The 20,343-nt window shown below is 48.1% G+C and overlaps 1 protein-coding gene and 1 non-coding gene across 10 annotated transcripts in view, besides 5 other annotated features; both read right to left on the reverse strand.

Annotated features, from left to right (window-relative positions):
• Nucleotides 2,059-20,343, reverse strand: part of KCNE1 (potassium voltage-gated channel subfamily E regulatory subunit 1) — a 65,523-nt gene continuing 47,238 nt past the window's right edge. For 2 of the 9 annotated variants that reach the window (XM_047440764.1, NM_001270403.2), the window contains 2 exons: nucleotides 14,025-14,107; nucleotides 2,059-5,055 (listed from right to left, as the gene is read on the reverse strand). In XM_047440764.1, coding sequence (XP_047296720.1) covers nucleotides 4,616-5,014 — 399 coding nt within the window. In that variant the 5' untranslated portion in view covers nucleotides 5,015-5,055; nucleotides 14,025-14,107 and the 3' untranslated portion in view covers nucleotides 2,059-4,615. Of the gene's footprint in view, nucleotides 5,056-10,756; nucleotides 11,181-14,024; nucleotides 14,136-14,899; nucleotides 14,972-15,269; nucleotides 15,310-20,343 lie in introns of those variants that run through there. The other 7 variants (NM_000219.6, NM_001270402.3, NM_001270405.3 and 4 more) reach the window with 6 other exon arrangements.
• Nucleotides 8,714-9,215: an enhancer, noted in NCBI's record as "NANOG hESC enhancer chr21:35825641-35826142 (GRCh37/hg19 assembly coordinates)". NCBI's record gives its function as "activates a minimal SCP1, AML or CMV promoter by ChIP-STARR-seq in naive H9 embryonic stem cells {active_cell/tissue: H9 hESC(naive)}" and the evidence as "EXISTENCE:reporter gene assay evidence [ECO:0000049][PMID:30033119]".
• Nucleotides 10,675-11,175: an enhancer, noted in NCBI's record as "H3K4me1 hESC enhancer chr21:35827602-35828102 (GRCh37/hg19 assembly coordinates)". NCBI's record gives its function as "activates a minimal SCP1, AML or CMV promoter by ChIP-STARR-seq in naive H9 embryonic stem cells {active_cell/tissue: H9 hESC(naive)}" and the evidence as "EXISTENCE:reporter gene assay evidence [ECO:0000049][PMID:30033119]".
• Nucleotides 11,176-11,676: an enhancer, noted in NCBI's record as "H3K4me1 hESC enhancer chr21:35828103-35828603 (GRCh37/hg19 assembly coordinates)". NCBI's record gives its function as "activates a minimal SCP1, AML or CMV promoter by ChIP-STARR-seq in naive H9 embryonic stem cells {active_cell/tissue: H9 hESC(naive)}" and the evidence as "EXISTENCE:reporter gene assay evidence [ECO:0000049][PMID:30033119]".
• Nucleotides 11,481-11,608, reverse strand: LOC124900475 (small nucleolar RNA SNORA11). The gene has a single exon (XR_007067948.1). It is a non-coding gene; the product is annotated as a small nucleolar RNA SNORA11 (small nucleolar RNA).
• Nucleotides 14,316-15,177: an enhancer, noted in NCBI's record as "H3K4me1 hESC enhancer chr21:35831243-35832104 (GRCh37/hg19 assembly coordinates)". NCBI's record gives its function as "activates a minimal SCP1, AML or CMV promoter by ChIP-STARR-seq in naive H9 embryonic stem cells {active_cell/tissue: H9 hESC(naive)}" and the evidence as "EXISTENCE:reporter gene assay evidence [ECO:0000049][PMID:30033119]".
• Nucleotides 15,178-16,038: an enhancer, noted in NCBI's record as "H3K4me1 hESC enhancer chr21:35832105-35832965 (GRCh37/hg19 assembly coordinates)". NCBI's record gives its function as "activates a minimal SCP1, AML or CMV promoter by ChIP-STARR-seq in naive H9 embryonic stem cells {active_cell/tissue: H9 hESC(naive)}" and the evidence as "EXISTENCE:reporter gene assay evidence [ECO:0000049][PMID:30033119]".

Consider the following 20,343-nt stretch of genomic DNA (forward strand, 5'->3'; position numbering starts at 1 on the left):
TCAAGCACTGGTATCCTTTACTTATCTCTCCTCACCTGATCTAGTGTTTACATCTCATTTGCGCCCATAGAGAAGTCATACACTGATGTGGATTTTAGATAGGGCACGCTCTCAAGACAGCCACATGTATTATTCTGTGCTCACACAGCCTGGCCTGGAGATGCAAAGATTATGGAATCCAGAATCTAAATGAGAGGATCAGATTAATGGGATGTTCTCACAGTGTCAGGTGAGGACAGCCTGATGCAGCCTTTCATCATGAGGCTGGGACCTCTGGGTCCCTTGGCCCCAGGACCACACTCGAGGACATGCCTGTTCCTGCCAACATGGCTGGGCAGAGTTCCTCTTTTCTTTCCTTTTCTTTTCTTTTCTCTTCTCTTCTCTTCTTTTCTTTTTTCTTTCTTTTCCTCTTTTCCTTCCTTCCTTCCTTCCTTTCTTCTTTCTTCTTTCTTTCTTTTCTTTCTTTTTCTTTTTCCTTCTTTCTATTTTTTTTTGAAATGGAGTCTTGCTCTGTTGCCCAGGCTGGAGTGCAGTGGCACACTCTTGGCTCACTGCAACCTCCACCTCCCGGGTTCAAGCGATTCTCCCACTTCAGGCTCCCAAGTGGCTGGGATTACAGGCACCCACCACCACACCCAGCTAATTTTTGTACTTTTAGTAGAAATGGGGTTTCGCCATGTTGGCCAGGCTGGTCTCAAACTCCTGACCTCAGGTGATCCACCCGCCTAGGCCTCCCAAAGTGTTGGGATTACAGGCGTGAGCCACCACACCCTAGCCCTGAGTCTGTTTATGCTTCTGTCAGGTGTGGCATGGGCCTGCCTGGGAGCTATTCTTTTTCTGTAAAGCACAGGCAGTTAATCAGTGGTCTCTGGGAAGAATCCAGCTCAGGGTTATATTTCGTTTGACCCACTCAAGTTTTAAAAAGTAAATTAGTTGCCAATGTGCAAACATTAGAAGAGTTCACAGCTTCTCCAACAATACCTAGAAGTTCATCCGATGGTGCCCGCATTCCCTGCTCTGTCTAGATGGTGCCCACATTCCCTGCTCTGTCTAGATGGTGCCGACATACCCTGATCTGTCCAGACAGTGCCTACATTCCCTGCTCCATCTGGATGGTGCCCACATTCCCTGCTCTGTCCAGACGGTGCCCACATTCCCTGCTCTGTCTGGACGGTGCCCACATTCCCTGATCTGTCCGGACAGTGCCCACATTCCCTCCTCCGTCCGGAAGGTGCCCACATTCCCTGCTGTGTCTGGACGGTGCCCACATTTCCTGCTCCGTCCAGACAGTGCCCACATTCCCTGCTGTGTCTAGATGGTGCCCACATTCCCTGCTCCGTCCAGACAGTGCCCACATTCCCTGCTCTGTCTAGATGGTGCCCACATTCCCTGCTCCGTCCGGACGGTGCCCACATTCCCTGCTCCATCCGGACGGTGCCCACATTCCCTGCTCCGTCCGGACGGTGCCCACATTCCCTGCTCCGTCCGGACGGTGCCCACATTCCCTGCTCTGTCCAGATGGTGCCCACATTCCCTGCTCCATCTGGACGGTGCCCACATTCCCTCCTCTGTCTAGACAGTGCCCACATTCCCTGCTCCGTCCGGACGGTGCCCACATTCCCTGCTCTGTCTGGACGGTGCTCACATTCCCTGCTCTGTCTAGACAGTGCCCACATTCCCTGCTCCATCCAGACGGTGCCCATACTCCCTGCTCTGTCTAGATGGTGTCCACATTCCCTGCTCCGTCTAGACTGTGCCCATATTCGCTGCTGGCTGCAAATGCGAGGAGTTGACAGCAGCCTCCCCTTTACAAGGCAGGAGGTGCCACTGTTCGCCATTGTCTCCACCTAGGGCTTCACTTGCTTTCTATCTGCAGACATCAGAGGGACCCACATCTCTCTGTTCTGACACGCTGTGTGTTGATGGCAGAGTTTAATTATCCACATGCAATCTTACTTTCCTTATTCCCAAGTCCGTGGGGCTGCCTCATCAAAGCATTGTAAGAACTGATAACCATCTTCTAGAAGTATCATAGTGATATTAAGAACACACATCACAGATCATAGTAAATGGCTTTAATTTTTTAGCGAAATCTCACTACTGCAAATGCATTGTTGTCCTAGCTAATGAATGCATAGAGTATTGCCTGCAAAATAATAATTGAGATTCTATTTTTAAGAAGCTTAGAACAGTACATGGTGCATAGCAAAGACTCTGTGTATGTGAAGCCAGATTTTAAAATATGGTAACAAGTGTCTGAAAATATGTGGCTCAATTTGTCTCCCGGTTACTTTTCCCTCTCCCCCTTTAAAATGTAGAGGAAGGAGAAGAAGAGATAAGAGGTTTGTGAGTGAAGACAAGGGCCCTTTAAGGCCTGGGAAGACTAACGCCATAGGGATCTCCCTCTGCCTTAAAAGGCACAGGAATCTTAGTGGGGAAAAAGAAGTGGTGATAAATAGCCAGTCCGTGTGCCTGGAATATCAAAGTCAGTGCGTGCCAGGGATCACACTGCGGGTCACGTGCACTCTGGGTCTCTCTCTGCAAACCTGCCCTGCCTCAGTCTGGGAATATGCAACTGCCTAAGAAGGGTCTGGCTTACACAGGGGCCGTGAGACGTGGCAGGCATAGCTGGGCTGCTACTGGTCATGAATCCTGGACACGGCAGGCAAGGTGTGGTGTCCATATGCATTATTCGGGTGGGGCAAAGATCACAGCTCTCACTAGACTTTCAGAGGACTTTGTAACCCAAAGAACCACTCATCTCAAGGACTGTGGTAACTCAGGGGCTGAGCCATGCCAGTGTTTATTATGTGAAACAAGGACTGGAACCTCACAAGACCAAGTCTGTCCATTTGAGGATGGCCCAAGATGCACACGGGCTGCTTTTATCTTATGCGCAGGTTTTAAAAAAATATGTTTCATTTAAATATTCCATACTCTTCAGGAATGCCCAGGCAGCTGAGCTTTCAGGATGTCGCATTGCAGAGGACTCCAATGCTACATATGGCAGCTGGAGACCCTTTCAAGGCAGGTGGCAGAACGGAGGCCCTCTCTATCTGCTGGGGCAGCCCTCCGGGTGCCCCGCTGGAAGGCAGAGCAGCTCCATCTCTGGGTGGGTGAGAGGTGCTGCATGGGCTCACTATAGTATCCCAATACTGTATGGCAGTAGGCTGCCAGAGTATCCTAAGCTGGGTGGCTTCAACAACAGGTACTGACTCACAGTTCTGGAGGCCAAAAGTTTGAATTCAAGCAGGGCTGTGCTTCCTCTGAAACCTGTGGGAGAGGAGCCTTCCTGGCTTCTTCCCGACTTCTTGGGATGGGGATGCGCATCCATCCTCGGCCTTCCTTGGTTTGTGGCTGTGTCACTGCACCCTCTGCCTCTGTCACGGCATGGTGTCCTCCCTATGCATCTGTGTCTGAATTTCCCTCTTCCGATAAGGACTCCAGTCATATTGGGTGAGGGCCCACCCCAATGACCTCATCTCAACTAGATCATCTGCAAAGACTCTATTTCCCAATTAGGTCACATTGAAGGTACCTGTCTTTTTGGGGGATACAATTCATCTCACAAAACCGGCCCATCACCTCAAAAGGACCTGCCACCCCAGTGCTATGTGTCCCTCTCTGCCCAGAGCCACTCCTTCCCCTGGCTCTCGGGGAGTGGGGGCACCTTTCCCTGCTCCCACAGTGACCGAGCACCTTCCCCTTGGTATGCATTCTGAAGGGGGCATTTTTTTCTCCTCCATCTCAGCCCTGTACAAAGCAAGTTCTTTCTAGATTGAGGTGTGTATGTGTGTCTATGTATATGAGTGTATGTGCCTGTGTGTTTTCAGGGAGATGTGTGCAGGATGGGTGCAAGGGAGGAGTGGAAGGCGGAAGGGCAGGAGGAGGATAGAGCCACAAGAGTGAGCACAGAAGTGACAAGGGCAGAATCAGTGTGTGCTTGTGACAAGTATGGAAATGTCATGCCTTTAGGTTCAGTCCTATAAGGTAGGTGTATCAGTAAGGGCATTGATTCTGCGACCTTAACAGAGATCAGAATAACAGTGGCTTAAGGAAGAGTGGAGTGGATTTCTCTCTCCTGTAAATCTGGCCTGGTGGGTGGTAAGGAGGATCCACGTCGCCCAGGCCCAGATGTGTGTGGCTCTTTGAGTGCCCCGTTCTTTCCCAGTCTCATAACTGCTCTCCACCTCCTCCACATCCAGCCACTGGGAAGCAGGACAAAGTTAGTTAAGGGCACGTTCTTTTCTTTCCAAGGATTACTTGGACATTACAGTCTTCACTTCCATGCCTACTGGCCAGGGCTTAGTCACACAACCTTGCTAGCTGCAAGGGAGTCTGGGAAATGCAGCTGCTATTCTCAGAGGCCATGTCCTCAGGGATTCTGCTAAATTTAGCAAGGCAGGGACAGATATGGGGGAACCACTGACAGTCTATCACAAAAGAACGTGATTTTAGAGAAACAGTGAAACAGTGTCATTAATCCACCCCTCACCCCTTACAACAGCCAAAAAGAAATCCAGTGGTATCCATCACAATAAAGAGTATGAGAGGAATGTGATTAGAAAATCAGGTTGCCAGGCAGGATGTGTCCAGTTTTAGCCAGTGGTGGGGTTCATGGGGAAGGCTTCGTCTCAGGAAGGTGTGTGTTGGGTTGTTCTATGGCCAGATGGTTTTCAACGACATAGCACGACCTGTAGCTCTCCAGGACCCGGGCCTGGACATAGGCCTTGTCCTTCTCTTGCCAGGCATCGGACTCGATGTAGACGTTGAATGGGTCGTTCGAGTGCTCCAGCTTCTTGGAGCGGATGTAGCTCAGCATGATGCCCAGGGTGAAGAAGCCGAAGAATCCCAGTACCATGAGGACGTAGAGGGCCTCCAGCTTGCCGTCACTGCTGCGGGGGGACCTGCGGGCCAGGCCCGACATGTTGCCACCCTGCTGAACTGTCTCCTGCCACAGCTTGGTCAGAAAGGGCGTCACCGCTGTGGTGTTAGACAGGATCATCCTGGGCATTAAGGTTCCACTGCTGCAGCTCAAACTTCCCAGGCACACCTCTTAAAGGAAAAATGCAACCCCAAATCAAAAAGTACGTATTGGCCAAAACCCACACGTACGCACACACACGTATACAATTTTAAAATCTCAGGTGAGAGGGGTGAGCTGACACTCCACAGGCCATGGCATGTGCCATCTTGGGTCTGTGCAATGCCTTCTCTTGATAGATGAATGGATACATTGATTCCCTTCTATTTCCATCCACCACTCCAATCTCCACCCCTATAGGTGACCATCAGAATGAGCTTCTTTAATATGCATTGCTGCATATTGTGGCGTATGGGGTTGCATGTGTGCATTTTGGTTTACCTAAATGGTATCAGGTCATCCAACTCATTCAGTCTCCTTCTTTTTCCTCATGACTGTGCTTTTGTGGCTCACTTGCGGTGCTGGGTGTGTGCATTCCCTTGCTTCCAATGTTTGTATACAACCCATGGTGAACACCCACTTCTTTTCTCTGCCTTCTCCCCCAGAGATGGACACTGCTGTGGCTGCTGACTCCATAAACAAGGGGGAGACAAATATCCCCATCCTTGACCTCCTATGGACCTAAAAAAAATCACGCATCTCATACAACTAGTTCCTGGCAGCTTATGCAAGACTAGTCAGACTGGTTGCCCTTGGAAGCAACGTGCAATTGGTGGTCTGTTTCACCACAGAGCATCTCTCTATGAACAGTTACATTCATCTGAATGAAAAATCTATGCTGTCACGTGGTGGACTTCAGAATGTCTAGGGAGATTTCACAGAGAGCTCCCCTCGAAGAGGCCAGTGTTGTAGCTTGTGCTATGTTTTTCCCTCCCTGCCCACACACAGGCACACACACGTACACAATCTTAAAACCTCAGGTGAGAGGGGTGAGCTCACATGCTCCCTAGTCCATGGTATGTGCCGTCTTGGGTCTACACAATGCCCTCTCTTGATTGAGCAATGGTACATGGATTGCCTTTTATTTCCATTCACTACTCTCTGGCTATGCAGAAAGTGACATTTTCCCTATCGTTTAATCTTGATATCACTGTCCCTGTATACTCAGAGTGGGCCTGGGAATTGGAAAAATTGTCTCCAAGTAGCTGTAAGATTCTGTCAGGGGTTTGGTTTGCTGTGGAAACCCCATCTAGGTGACCTTGAGATCATTGGTAAGCTGAAAAAAAACAGGTCTTGTTTTTATTTATTTATTTATTTATTTATTTAGGTTTGAGCAAATGCCAGCCTCTACCCCCAGTTCCTGCTGGGAAACAAAAGCTCCGAGGCCAAGTTGTTGATGTCACATTCCAAACTCAAGCCAGAGGGGGCCACTGGGAGCTTATCACACGTAAGTGCTCCCACTCAGTTCTTTCTTTTTCTGTTTTATTGAGACAGGGTCTCACTCTTGTCACTCAGGCTGGAGTACAGTGGCACAATCTTGGCTCACTGCAGCCTCAACCTCCTGGACTCAGGTGATCCTCCTACCCTACCCTCCAGAGTAGATGGGACTATAGGTATGCACCACCATGACTGGCTAATTTTCGTATTTTTTGCAGAGGTGAGGTTGCCCTATGTTGCCGAGGCTGGTCTTGAACTCCTGGGCTTACAGGATCCGCCCACCTCGGCCCCCCAAATTGCTGGGATTACAGGCATGAGCCACCCTGCTTGTCCCCTGCTCACTTCTTAGGAGCTTAAAGTAGCTGAGTAGAACATGGCCTGGAGTAGAACATGGCCTCGGGGGGACTGTTGTAACTACAGGTGAAGGATGTATTTGGGAAGACAGTTTATGGCCAGAATCGCTATGGAAAGACAAATTCCAACACTTGCCGGGACGGCGCTGTCTTTCCCAGCCAGGATGGGGACTGTGACATTGCACATCATCTTGTGTAGGACAAATAACCTCAGAAACCTAGCTCCTCTCCAGCTTAGACCCAGAGCTATTTCTTCATTGAATTGGTTTAATTGTAAAACATACCCTGAACCCAGCACCAGCTGAAGACATCTGGCACCTTTCCGAGGCCCCTCTTCCTCTACCCATCTCTGAACTCTGGCTGTGTCTCAGAGTTCTGTTACCTGCTCTCTTCTCTTCCTACTCTCCTCTCTCCCAGGGTGACTGCACCTGCTCCAGGCTCACCTGCATGGCCATGACCCAGGGCTCTCTTTAAGCTCCAGAGCCATGCGTCCAGTGACCTGCTAAGGAGATGGTTCCCTTTGGCCATCCCCAGGCTCCTTAAAGTTAACACTCCACCCTGTCCTGTCAGAGACTGGCCCCTGCCTCATTGAGCTGAGTGGCAACACCACTCACTCCAAAATCTGCATCACTCTCACTGATGACTGCAATCTCATCATGGCAGTTCCCATCTTGAAGGCCTTCCTTGGCTCCTCCCTGCCTTCAGGGTGAAACTCCTGGTCTTCTGCATGGATACAGGCCCTAAATTTGAGAGTCTATGCATCCCTCTCCAATTCCACTGTTGCCACTGTGCCCAGACCCTATGCTCCATGGTCCCTGCTGGCCCCGGAGCCTCTACACATTGTGCGTCTCCAGCTCAGACTGCGCCTTCTTCTTGGCCCATGAAACTTCTCAGCAATGCCTACTCATGCTTAAAATTCAGCCCAGCTCTCACCTCCTTCCCGAAGCCTGCTCTGATACATGGGGCTGGATCAGCACTGTGCACACCATGACCCCTGCTAACCTCATCATGGTCAGGATCTCCAGGCCCCTTATCCCATCCCTGCCCTGCCATCCAGCCTGGTGCTGGGCACGCAACCACACAGGAGCTGCCCATGAATGTTTATCGAATAGATGCCACCAGAACTTAATACCTTTTGACCAGTGGGGCTTGACTCTTTATAACCTGCTTACTCCAATGAACAGATGCCAATGAGCTGTCTCCGAAGCTCTAACTGACTCCCTTTTCCAGAAGGGCAGTCATCTCCCACCCTGAACCACAGTCTCAGAAGGCAGGAGTGAGGAGCAGAAAGAGCTCAGATTTTGGGATTCCACTGCCGCCACAGGTTTGGATTCTAGCTTTGCTACTTCCTGGCCACATGATCCTGGACAGTTTCCTTAGAATTGTTCAGTCAAGTTTTTTTTTTTTTTCTTTCCAAAGTAGCGAGAAACACCACTGACATTTGCGGGCTGTTGAATCACTGAGCAGGTGTGTAGAGTGGCTGACAGCATGTGGCACATGGCAGGTGCACACTCAGTGGTCCTGGGTAGGAGTTTATTGGTTTTTCTACCTCATTAAGAAATTGCTGCCCAAGGATTTGGGGCTTTGGGGGTTTAGGCTTGGCTTTCCTGTGGCTGACCATGGCAGCTGTCTTCTCTACGTTGTGGAGAGATCAGACATGAATGAGAATCAAAGATTGTTTGTGGCCTTTCCTGGTTTCTAGGCTTTTGAGTCTGTGCAGAGATCTGTCAGGGGTTAAGCTGCCTGGGCTCAAGAGATTCAGGTCCTTGTTCTTGTACAAAACTAGCATTTAGCCCCATTCTAACCATCGGGGTAGGCAGGAATTGTTTGGTAACAGATCCAAACTCAACGCTCAACCATTTCTTTTTAAATGACCCGAAACCACTTATGAATGCATAAAACCCTGCCCCAGAAAACAGACAGACCTGGACCTGATACTATGATGTAATTTCCAAAAACCCAGAATGATCACAATTGGCAAATAATTCTGCCACCAATCACTGTTAGAGAGTCTTTCCAACTTCATGACCATGTGAAGGTAGAATTATGGCAGGCGACATTTGAAGATCCACAAGTTAATTGGTTTAAAACTGATAAATCCATACAGCAAATTAAGAGTTACATCTGCAATTAATTCATAATAGTGAGTTCACTGAGAAGGCTTGTTACTTAGATCCAGATGGACTTTCTTATGTCCAAAGAAGCAACCAAAAACATCTGCTTTGAAAACCTCCCAAGCCCAAACCATCCTCAGCCTTGTTCTTTAGAATGCTTTAGAATGACCTTGTTAAAATGCAGATTGCTCCTGTAATCCCAGCACTTTGGGAGGCCAAAGCAGGTGGATCACTTGATGTCAGGAGTTTGACACCAGCCTGGCCAACATACTGAAACCCCGTCTCTACTAAAAATACAAAAATAAGACAGGCGTGGTGGCGGGCACCTGTATTCCCAGCTATTTGGGAGGCTGAGGCAGGAGAATCACTTGAACCCAGGAGGTGGAGGTTGCAGTGAGCCAAGATTGTGCCATTGCACTCCTGCCTGGGTGACACAGCGAGACTCTGTCTCAAAAAAAAATGCAGATTGCTGGGCTCTATTTTCAGAGTTTCTGATTTGGTAGAACTGGAGCGGGCCTGGGAATCTGCATTCCTAACACATTCCCACGTGGTGCTAATACTGCTGGTCTGGAGGCCCTGCTTGGTGATCTATTGGAATCACCGGGGGAGCTTTTAGAAAATAATGGTTCCTGGATCTCACCCCTAGAGATTTTAATGTCTTTGGTCTGGGTTCCTGCCTGACTCAGAGACTTTTTAGAAACCTCCCAAATGATCCTAATTTGTAGCCAAGATTGAGAACCACTGGGCTGTGGTGTGGGACCCTAGGAAAATGACCAATGGCCTTTTGTGCTGCAGGGTACCTGGAAGAATTTTGCAAAAATATAGAAATATGATCTCACTGACTGTTTTTCAAATCTTGTTTGTTTTTTACATTTTCTTTTTTGGCCTTGTTTGCCTCTGATACAGTCTGAAAAGAAATTGCAGAAAGAAACTCTCCAGTCTTCAGTGTAACCTCAGCTGTCCCCAGTCTCACACACGCTGGTGCCTTCAATTACAATTCTCCTGTCAGAGCTTAAGTCCAGCTAATTAACTGCCTTTCAAATGACAACCCTATATTTTTAAAGAATTTTTTTAAAACTTCACATGTAATTTATTGCATTGCTTTTGCTAAATGTCCTCCACACCCCCAATGCCTGCTAGGCTGGGTCGCCATGGTATTTTTGTGTAACGAGTCTCAAAATGAGTTTGGCAATGTCTCCGTAATAGTCAGCATGGTGTAAATGACAGTCTGGATCTGCATGTCATTTGGGATTTTATATCAGATTCTCTAGGTTCATTTCTATGATACGTGATGCCAAAGCACCCACATGCCCCGTGGCTGCACTTTCAGACAGTTGGACTCAAACAGAGTGGGAGAGCAACTGATCCAACAATCTGAATTTTCAGAAAACGGGGCTCCTTAGAGATGAGATGGCTTGCCAAAAGTAATCTCTCCTATCAGAAGTACATATCCTCAGCAAACTAACGCAGGAGCAGAAAACCAAACACCGCATATTCTCACTTATAAGTGGGAGCTGAACAGTGAGAACACATGGACACAGGGAGGGGAACAACACACACTGGGGCTTGTCGGGGAAAGGTGGGTGGGGAAGAGCATTAGGGAAAAGAGCTAATGCACGCTGGGCTTAACACCTAGATGATGGGTTGACAGGTGCCGCAAACCATCATGGCACATATTTATGTCTGTAACAAACCTGCACATCCTGCACATGTTCCCTGGAACTTAAAAAAAAAAAAAAAGAAACAAAAACAACCAACCAAAAATATATCTAAAATGTCATCTGTTAGCAATTGACTCACATATTATTAGTATAGAAAAGAGCAATTCCCAGGACCTTGTACAGAGGAAGCAGGCTCAAAACAGCTGAGGAATAGGCCACTTTTATCAGATAGCATTGGATCCATGCACATGGGGGTTGGCTTCTTACCTAAATATGCCATCAGAAATCATCCTTGTTCCTGTCCCCTCAGCTTTTGTAGCTTGCACAGTGAGTAAAGGGATGGTGGAGGCAGAAATGGTAGGAGCCAGAGATGTTCAAAATCCATCTGATGCTTGGCCTGTGCTGAACGTTCTCAAACTGTGGCCTTGTCAGGCCCAGAAAGTGGGGTGGATTCCTGGCCGTTTCTGCTTCTGCCTGGGTGTGAGATGTGAATGCTGCCCCTACTGAAGGGTAGTGCAATTTTTTTTTTTTCTTAAAAGCTTAGACCCAGAGCTGCTAATCTACTGGAAATCACTCAGGACACAGGGCTCTGGGCAGCTGCGCTGAGCGAGACACCTGCAAATGGAGACCAACGGGGCCTCCAGCACCCTGGAGTTCCGTAAGGCCCCCAGCTGAACCCAGGGGAGAAGAGGGCAGTGGGTGGCGCCTCGCTGCTCTGGGCACACACCACCTCTTCTGACTTCTCCCACGTGCTCCGGCTGTGTCGCCTATCAGCACTGATAACAGCCTGGAAGCTTTCAGAACAGAAGCTTTCCCAGCATGGGAAACTCTCATTCTTTCTTTTTTTTAATTTTCCAAAGCCTTTATTTCTAAGACCAACTGTGGCCTACCCGTGCATAAACTGGGCAGGCTGTAGACAGCAGGCTTGCCAAGTAAATACTACAGCCTTCCTCCCAATATTGAGCCCTGTCCCATTGATCCTGCAGGGGAGATGTGTAGGGCATTTGTTCACGGGGAGGCCACAAGTTTGGGCCTCTCATCACTGTGACCTCACACCCCTGTTGAGTGTGTCGTAAACAGAGGAGCCGTTCTTCAAGCCCCCTGCCCTGAGTGCACCCCTCTCATTCTTTTGTTATTATTAGCAAATTCCCCCAGTTCCTGATCATTCTTTCTTAAGCCTTTAGTGACTGGGTAAGGTTCTTGTGGCTGACTCCAAGCTTTCTTCTAAAAGGAATAGATTCTAGGGGTGAGTAGAGGAGACAGGAATGTCGGAGTCAGAGCTCAGGAATCTGGGTTCCAGCCCCAGGTCAATCCTAGATAAACTAGAGGGCTCCTTAACTTACTTCCCTAGGTTGACTCTGGGTTTTTTTATCACGCTCGACAGGACTCCTTATGCATTTCTTCGAAAGAGCATCCAGTCTTAACATCATCATTTGGCCTCATTTGGTTTAAGAAGCAGAATTAGGGTAAAAGCAATGATGGATAAGCCTCATTTTGGTGAATATGATCTTATTGAGACAAGAATTCTGAGTCAATTGTCCTTGGAACCAACTGTCTATTGTTTTCATCTTTATCACAACACTATGTCCAAATTTTGGAAACATGTTTCCCTCCTAGCAGAAAAGAAGCCACCCAGGGCCACCAGATGCTTCCCGACACTTGGCTGGCTTTGTCTGGTCTTCTATCCTTCCCCTATCCCCAGAGTCAGTGGGTACTAAGGTGGCCAGGGTCGCTCAAGGAATCAGAATGCAACCGTCCAGAGGCCCAGAATCAGACTGTCCTCTCTGATTAGGAAAGTGTTTCCTGCCACCTCCCAGGGGGATGTGGGGTGTGGCTTGAGTCTGGTGCTTTTACCAGGAGCTTCCCAGACCTCTCTATGGGTGATGGAGAGAGAGTCTGGGGTGTGAAGGATGGAAATATAAACACTGAATACTCAGAGAGTCAGGCCAGCGAGCTGGTGAGGAGACTCCATCAAACTCAATATGAAAACATGGGTGGGCGTTTGGGGATGGATAATGAATGACAGCTGAAGTCACACATCAGGAGGGAAGGAAGGACTCTCATCTTCAGCAAATGACATAAATCTGGGGAGCCTCAGTTTCCTCACCTGAACAGTGAGAATGATGGAATCTACCCTGAGTATATATCCCAGGTCTTTGTGCAGCATGGAATCAGCCCCCAGCCTTCCTAGCTCTTGCTTTATTTTATTTTATTTTAGAGACCAAGCCTCGCTCTGTCACTCAGGCTGGAGTGCAGTGGCGCGATCTTGACTTACTACAACCTCCTCCGCCTCCTGGGTTCAAGTGATTCTCCTGCCTCAGCCTCCTAAGTAGTTGGGTTTACAGGTGCATGCCACTATGCCTGGTTAATTTTTGTATTTTTAGTAGAGACGGGGTTTCACCATGTTGCCCAGGCTCAACATGCCTGGGCTGAAGCGATCCACCTGCCTTGGCCTCCCAAAGTGCTAGGATTACAGGCGTGAGCCACCGTGCCTGGCCTCTTGTTTTATGTTTGCTGTTCTCGCTGTAGGTGAGGCATTCCCACCATATTCCCTTGTTAAAATCCTACTGGCCCTTCAAATGCCAGCTCATATCCACACTGTGTCTGACCCTGATCCAGAATCCTCTCCCCTTCTTTGACCCCTTGTATATATCTTTCCTACAGTGCTGGTCATATTCTAACTTCTAATCATTTGTAGACTTATCTGGGCATTTTCTCCCAGGAGGTCCCAAAGGACAGAGACCATCTTGCTCACCTTTGTCCCCACTCCAGCACCCAGAATGTTTCAATAAGGTTTTCCTGAATTAAGTGGGAAGCAAAGTATTAGATTCAATACCACTACAATGGGAAAGTGAGTGAATAATTGATAAAGTATACTATGCTCTGGAAATAGATTATTGAGTAATCAGAGGAAAACCTCTTGCAATGTAGTATGTTTTTATATATTAAATTTTATATTATTTATTTATATTTATATTATTAACATATTTTTGTTATTCATTTTGTTTATTAAGATTTACTCTATATATATATGTGTGTGTGTGTGCGCGTGTGTGTGTGTGTAACCCACCTTATTTCTAAAAAAAAATTTTGGCAGTCAGTGACTATTAATAGTAGAGCACAAACTCTTAACCTTTTTTTCCTCCCGCTTTCCCAGAGTCCTTATCACCTTCTAATATAATAAAGTTTTCTTAACTGTGATGTTGATTGTTCAACGTTTGTCTTTCCCACCAAAATGTAAGCTATTGCGGGCAGGGATCTTTGCATGGGTTGTTCTTCATTGCATCCCAGGCCACTAGAACAGTGTGTGGCATATGGCAGGAGTGCAATAAACATTCAGCGAATGCAGGCAGGCATGCGTGAACGCATGAATAATAAGTGTTCCTTTCAACTACCAGAAAGAGCGAAACCACACAGGAGCTGTCTCACCCTCAGAGATTTAAGACGACAGCAATGAGTCCCTCTGATGTCTTCTAAGTGAGCTTTATTTTCAAAACAAATCATTTTCCAATAACCTATCAAAAGCAGGTCCTACCTGAATATCCTTGGCTATTTCCTCTGGATACAGATAATGCCTTCCTCCAATGGATCCTCGGCTCACCTGATGATTGTGTGAAACTGGCCAGAGAAAGCAGAGGGATTTTTCCTGGTGATTGGAAATCAGAGTCACGGCTGAATTTAAGCAACTGTGTGAACTCAGCAAAGTCCCCACCACCTGGACCATACATGACAGCTATGGTTATTGACAAGGTCCTTCCTTAATGGAGCTGGAACCTCCTTCTTAATCTAAATGTGGACTCAAATGAACTGTCAATTCACATAGAGCAATGTGACAAATCCGGGGGGCAAAGCATTATGCAATAGATTGGGCACATGCGCACGTCTCTGCTACTTAGTCAACTTTCTTCTAAAGTTTCCCACTTTTCCCATTACCACAATCAAGATCAGATATCAGTAATATTCTCCGCGTCCCATGCCCTTTCCTCAGGGAGATGCCAAGGCCCAAGAGCTGGTCCCCCCAAAAAGCTGAAGGTCTTTGAAAAAAAGTGGGGACTCAGGTCCCGTGAGTGGTTTTGATTTTCTTTTCTTTTGAAAGTTGCATGTAAGTGTTTTCCAAATACTATACAAGAATGTCTATAACTTAATAATGGAGGAATGTTTTCGTTGTTCTGTGTTGGTGAGATGCTTTCCTATGCGTTTGTTGTATAAGTAAGTGAGAATGGCAGAAGGAAAGGAGGGGAGAGGCTGATCATCCTATCCCGTCTCCCACTCTGGGGGTCTCGGCGCTTCCAGCCTGAAGCGCGCCCGCTGCGCGTCCGGAGACGCAGGTTCCAGGAGCCCCCCGGGGTTGCCCGACTAGGCCACTTGCGCCCCGGAAGAGGGCCGCGGAGGTGGGAGACCCTAACTTACCCGGGTCTGAGATGCCGAGAGAGCCGGGTGTGGAGCTGAGTGCGCGCCTGCCGAGCGCTGAGGCCACAGACAGCCCCGCCCCGGGGCGGCACCTTCTAAGGGCCTGAGCGCTGCACAGGGATGGGGGCGGGCGGGGCCTCCCAGAGCCGCCAGGCGTCCCGCCCCACTCCGCCCACACGCACGGCCCAGCCCAGGGTTCCCCGGGACCACCCCAGACCAGCCCCGGCCCCCCCGGGTCCTCCACACTCTGCACCCCAGACCAACACCAACGCGCGTAGGGAAGCGTTTTAGATCCTGTCGGAGAGGCTCAAGGCCGGCAGAAGGTTTGCATTAGGATCGAGAAAGCCGACCAACGGACAGATCTACCTACCTTCCTGCGGGAGTTTGAGGTTGCCAGGGGGGAAGCCACTGCAGCCAGGAGAAAGGCCGTCTGGGAACCACCCCACCCTCGGACGTGCGGGCCTTCAAATATCTCTGAACATAATCCTCCAAAGACCGCTCAACCTCCGCTCCCGACGACTCTTTCTAGCCTCGTCCCGCACCCCAGCTGTGGCCACACACCTATTAGGCAAACATTTATGAAGCACCCACTTACTGGGTGTGCAGCCCTGAGCTGGGGGTGCAGCTGTGGACCAGACAGGAGGGGGCCCGGAGCGGCAGACAGTCGCTGGAGGCACCCGAGCCTTGGCGAGCACACCCTAACGTCCTTGGGGCCTTTCAGCCCGAGCCGTCCTTGTCCAGAGAGCAAACCATGCAATGATGCAGGTGACTTCCCAGCAAATTTCATAGCGTTGCTCACCAGCTTGGCAGGCAAGAGGAGAAGGGGCAGTCCCCAAAAGACAATCCCATGAACCTTCTAGGGAATGACGTCCAGGCTCCAGGCTCCTGCTCTGCAGGCGGGTCGCAGAGGCAGGTTCCTGACCTAGGACTAGAAGACATTCTCTAGGGTCACTGCCTCCATGGTCTTCCTTGGCAGGTCACTTCTTCCTGGGCTTCGACCTCGGTGTTCTCATGGGGACGAGGGTGATTGGAGGCCCTCCAAGGGGTGCACCGATGTGTCCTGTGCACCAGGCAGAACCAGCATTGCCCTACAGTGTGGGTGCAAAATGAACCCACATGGCCACGTTGGAAAGTCCTGAAATGTTCATAGCCTATGACATGAAATTGCACTGTGTGAAATCTATTTATTCTTTTTTTTTTTTTCTTTTTTTTCTGAGACGGAGTCTCACCCTGTCGCCCCGGCTGGAGTGCAATGGCACGATCTCGGCTCACTGCAACCTCCACCTCCCTGGTTCAAGCGATTCTCCTGCCTCAGCCTCCCGAGTTGCTGGGATTACAGGCACCGGCCACCATACCCTGCTGATTTTTTGTTATTTTTAGTAGAGACGGAGTTTCGCCATGTTGGCCAGGCTGGTCTCGAACTCCTGACTTCAGGTGATCCACCCGCCTCGGCCTCCCAAAGTGCTGGGATTACAGGTGTGAGTCAGCGTGCCCAGACTGAAATCTATTTATTCTATGGAAAGGATCAGAGCTGTAGAAAAATCCTTATGCATGTAAAAGTTCTTTGTGTTTTTACTTGCAATAACTAGAATCTAAACATCCAAAAATAGAAAATATAGGTAATTAAATTGTAGTACATATGATATTATTCTACATAGTAGAATATTATGTGGAGTCCTTAAAATGTTTACAAATAATTTATAACAACATGGGGCCGGGCACAGTGGCTTACACCTGTAATTCCAGCACTTTGGGAGGCCAAGGTGGGTGGGTCACCTGAGGTTAGGAGTTCAAGACCAGCCTGGCCAACATGGTGAAACCTGTCTCTACTAAAAACACAAAAATTTAGCTGGGCGTGGTGGTGGGCACCTGTAATCCCAGCTACTTGGGAGTCTGAGGCAAGAGATTCACTTGAACCCAGGAGGCGGAGGTTGCAGTGAGCCAAGGTCACGCCACTGCACTCCAGCCTGGGCGACAAGAGTGAAGCTCTGACTCAAAACAAACAAACAAACAAAAACCCAACAGGGGAGATCTTTATATTATCATGTTACGTGAAAAATACAAAAACAGAAAACAAAACAAAAACCCCACAAAACTCAAGGCCTTAAATTGTAAATATGAGATGCCAGGCATTATTCCCAAAATCTATAAGGAAGCACACCAACCACCATGTTAACATTGTCTATTAGTGGTAGGCCTATTGGAGATTTATTATCTTATTTATGCTACTTCATGTTTTCCTTCCTTTTTTGTTTTGCAACAACTCTGTATTAGTCTGTTCTCACACTGTTATAAAGAACTGCCTGAAACTGGGTAATTTATAAAGGAAAAAGTCTTAATTGATTCACAGTTCAGCATGGCTGAGGCCTCAGGAACTTACAATCATGGCCGAAGGGGAAGCAAACATGTCCTTCTTTACATGGCAGCAGGAGAGAGAAGTGCAGAGCAAAGTGGAAGGAAAAGCCCCGTATAAAACCATCAGATCTCGTGAGAACTCACTCATTATCATGAAAACAGCATGGAAGAACCGCCTCCATGATCCAATCACTTCCCACAAAGTCCCTCCTGCAACATGTGGGGATTACAATTTGGATTACAATTCAAGATGAGATTTGGGTGGGGACACAGCCAAACCATATCAAACTCTATGTACTTTAATATTTAAGGAAAATTACATAAACTTTATCTGAAAATTCCCTGGATTCTTCTCCTCAAGGTCATGCTGTACATATGCAGGATCCTCCTGCCTACATCTCCAAATGGATAATGGATTGAAGCAAAATGTTTGTCCCACCAAACATTGATGTGTAACCCTTTTAGTAACAATTCATAGACCAGGTAAACATGTGTGGAGCAGCCCAGATCAGCTGGAGGGAGCATTATTCTCATCAGAGTGTGGAACAATGCCTACCCATCTGTCAGCTGGTTATGGTGAAGACAGTATAAATGGAAGCACTGTCAGAAACTAAAGGCTTATGTAAGTGATGCTGTTCTTATGTCTCCTCTTCCTCTCTATCCCACATATGATGAATTATTTTATTATGATGATGCTGTAGTTGTTATTTTCTATTTGAAATGAAAAGACATGATTACAGATGAGAAAGAGTGTATTTTGTTATCCTTGATGCACTTGAAATGGTTTCCTCTTTTTTTTTTCCTGTTTTCTTCTTCTTCCTTCTCTCTTCACTCTTTCATTCTTGCCTCTCTCCATTTTATAGGTATGATTGATCTTGAAATAATGATGATAACAGAATGATAGCCCATATAGTCCTTGGGTCACTTCTGTCTCTATTTCTCTTTCTTCCCTCCTCTTTTTTTCTTGGTCCTTTTGCTAGATGGGTTGCGAGCATGGCTCCCTGCCCCTCTCAGTGGGTTTATCTTCATTTTCCATGAGCTCCCACCTCACTGCATGTGACATCAAAGCCAAAGCTCCAGCCACTTCTCATCCTTTCTTAGGAAAATCTCAAGTCTTAACTTGAAAGTTGAATGTCCTGCTTTTGTTCCTAACTCTGCTCACAGGATAGTGGAAGAAGAAAGGCTCAGCCTGTTACCAGAAAGAACAGATCTGCAGTGTAACCCATCTAGGATGAAGGGTCATGTGGACAGTTCTTCACTCTTCCCTCTGGCTGCCCTTCAGTTGGTGTCCAGATGCCCCTGTGTTAGCCTGGGGGCATTCCTTGCCCTTTGGCCCCTCTTTTGTTGCCTTTTTTTTTCTTAGACAAGGTCTAACTCCGCTGCCCAGGCTGGAGTGCAGTGGTGCGACCATTGCTCATTGCAACCTCGAACTCCTGGCTCAAGACATTCTCCCCGCTCAGCCTCGTGAGTAGCTGGAACTACAGTTGTACACCACCATGCCTTGGCTAATTTAAAAAGTCTTTTTGTAGGGATGGGAGTCTCAGGCTGGTCTTGAACTTCTGGCCTCCAGTGATCCTCCTGCCTTGGCCTCCCAAAGTTTTGGGATTACAGGCGTGAGCCATTGTGCCCTGCCCTTTGTTGCTTTTTCACTCCTTTACCCTGTGGTTTCTACTATCCTCAGGGACAACTCTCATTGCCCTGGGGCTTCTGGATCTTCAGCAAGACACACCCCTAAAGGCAAACAATCTTTCTTTAGCAGCAGCAGAGCACAAACGGAGTGTTGCTGTATGCTAAAAGCATACTATTTCCCCCCCATGAGAAAGTCTAAGGGGTCCAGGGGTCCTGAAGTCCCTATCCTGCCCCCGCCAGTGACAGGTGATGGGGAACAGAATGCTGAAAGAGACCCCACCCAACCATCTGGTGTGTCAACACCCGCCCCTGCCGGTGCTGTCCACAGGTTGATCCCCATCCCACATGGGTGGCTTAACACATTCATGTCTTCTGAGAGCCATTTGTTGCTCCCCAGTCTCTTCTGTCCTCCTTCTTTGACCAACATTTCCCTGTCTGATTTGCTTGGTCACAGGTAGCCTGTGTCAGTTTCCTCCCAGGACTCTCTTTGCCTGGGAATAAGTGCTATACATGAGAAGCATCCCTCCCAAGCGCTGTGTGTGGCCTCCTGGCATTCTCCTAAGACTTCCTAGAGGATTGCTCTGGTTCCAAAAAGAAACCAGCCACAACCTGTTTGGAGCCCTGCAGGATGTTCCAGCTCACCGACTTCATTCCCCACTACTTGCCCCTCTAACAGAGCTTCTAGACCAGCAGCCAAGGTGCCTCCATTCACTGTACATGACTCACCTTTCCCCCTTCTAGACACTTCTTCACGGGTCTAGCCTCTGTTTCCAGCTTTACACAGCACAGGCTGATGCCTGCCACTGAACGGGATCCAGGACTTTTTCAAATCTCAGATCCCCAGCAAAGGTATGACAATGGGCACCCTGACCAGCTCTGAGCCTCTAAGCATAGGGTCTATTTGTTTAATTTTGAATTCACTTTTAAGATTTAAAAATTGAGAGCTCTCATCTTCAACAAAATTCAGGGGATCTAGAAACATCATGCCCACTTGTGGCAGAGTAGCCAACTGGCAGAAACTGATGCTGATGCTGTCTGTTTCCTACACAAAATGCAAACCAGAGTTTACCACAGGCCCCGCTACTCCACATTCTCCTCCACAAGGACACTCAGCAGGCTCCTGTGCTGAACGGCTTGCCTGGTTCTGTAGGTGTAGGGTTTGTTACTCTGTTCCAGGACCTATTTTCCGCAAAGCCCCTTACCTGGCTGTTTCTTCCCTTGGCATACGTGAGAACTCCTTTCCTCACTGAATTGCTTTGACCTTGCTAATTAGTTGTGTTGCAAGTGCTTTTTGGCTGTGTCAGACATGTATGTTCTGTTTATCATTTTAGAGCAATGGTTATTAATTTTTTTCAGATTCTTCTTGGGAATTAGAGAAAAACTTATGGCTCTCCTCCACCATCCTGCCCCCACCTACCCCAATGCACACATGTGCAACATTTGTTCTACAATTCAAGAGC

The sequence above is a fragment of the Homo sapiens genome, chromosome 21, assembly GCF_000001405.40.
Source record: "Homo sapiens chromosome 21, GRCh38.p14 Primary Assembly".
Classification (NCBI taxonomy): domain Eukaryota; kingdom Metazoa; phylum Chordata; class Mammalia; order Primates; family Hominidae; genus Homo; species Homo sapiens.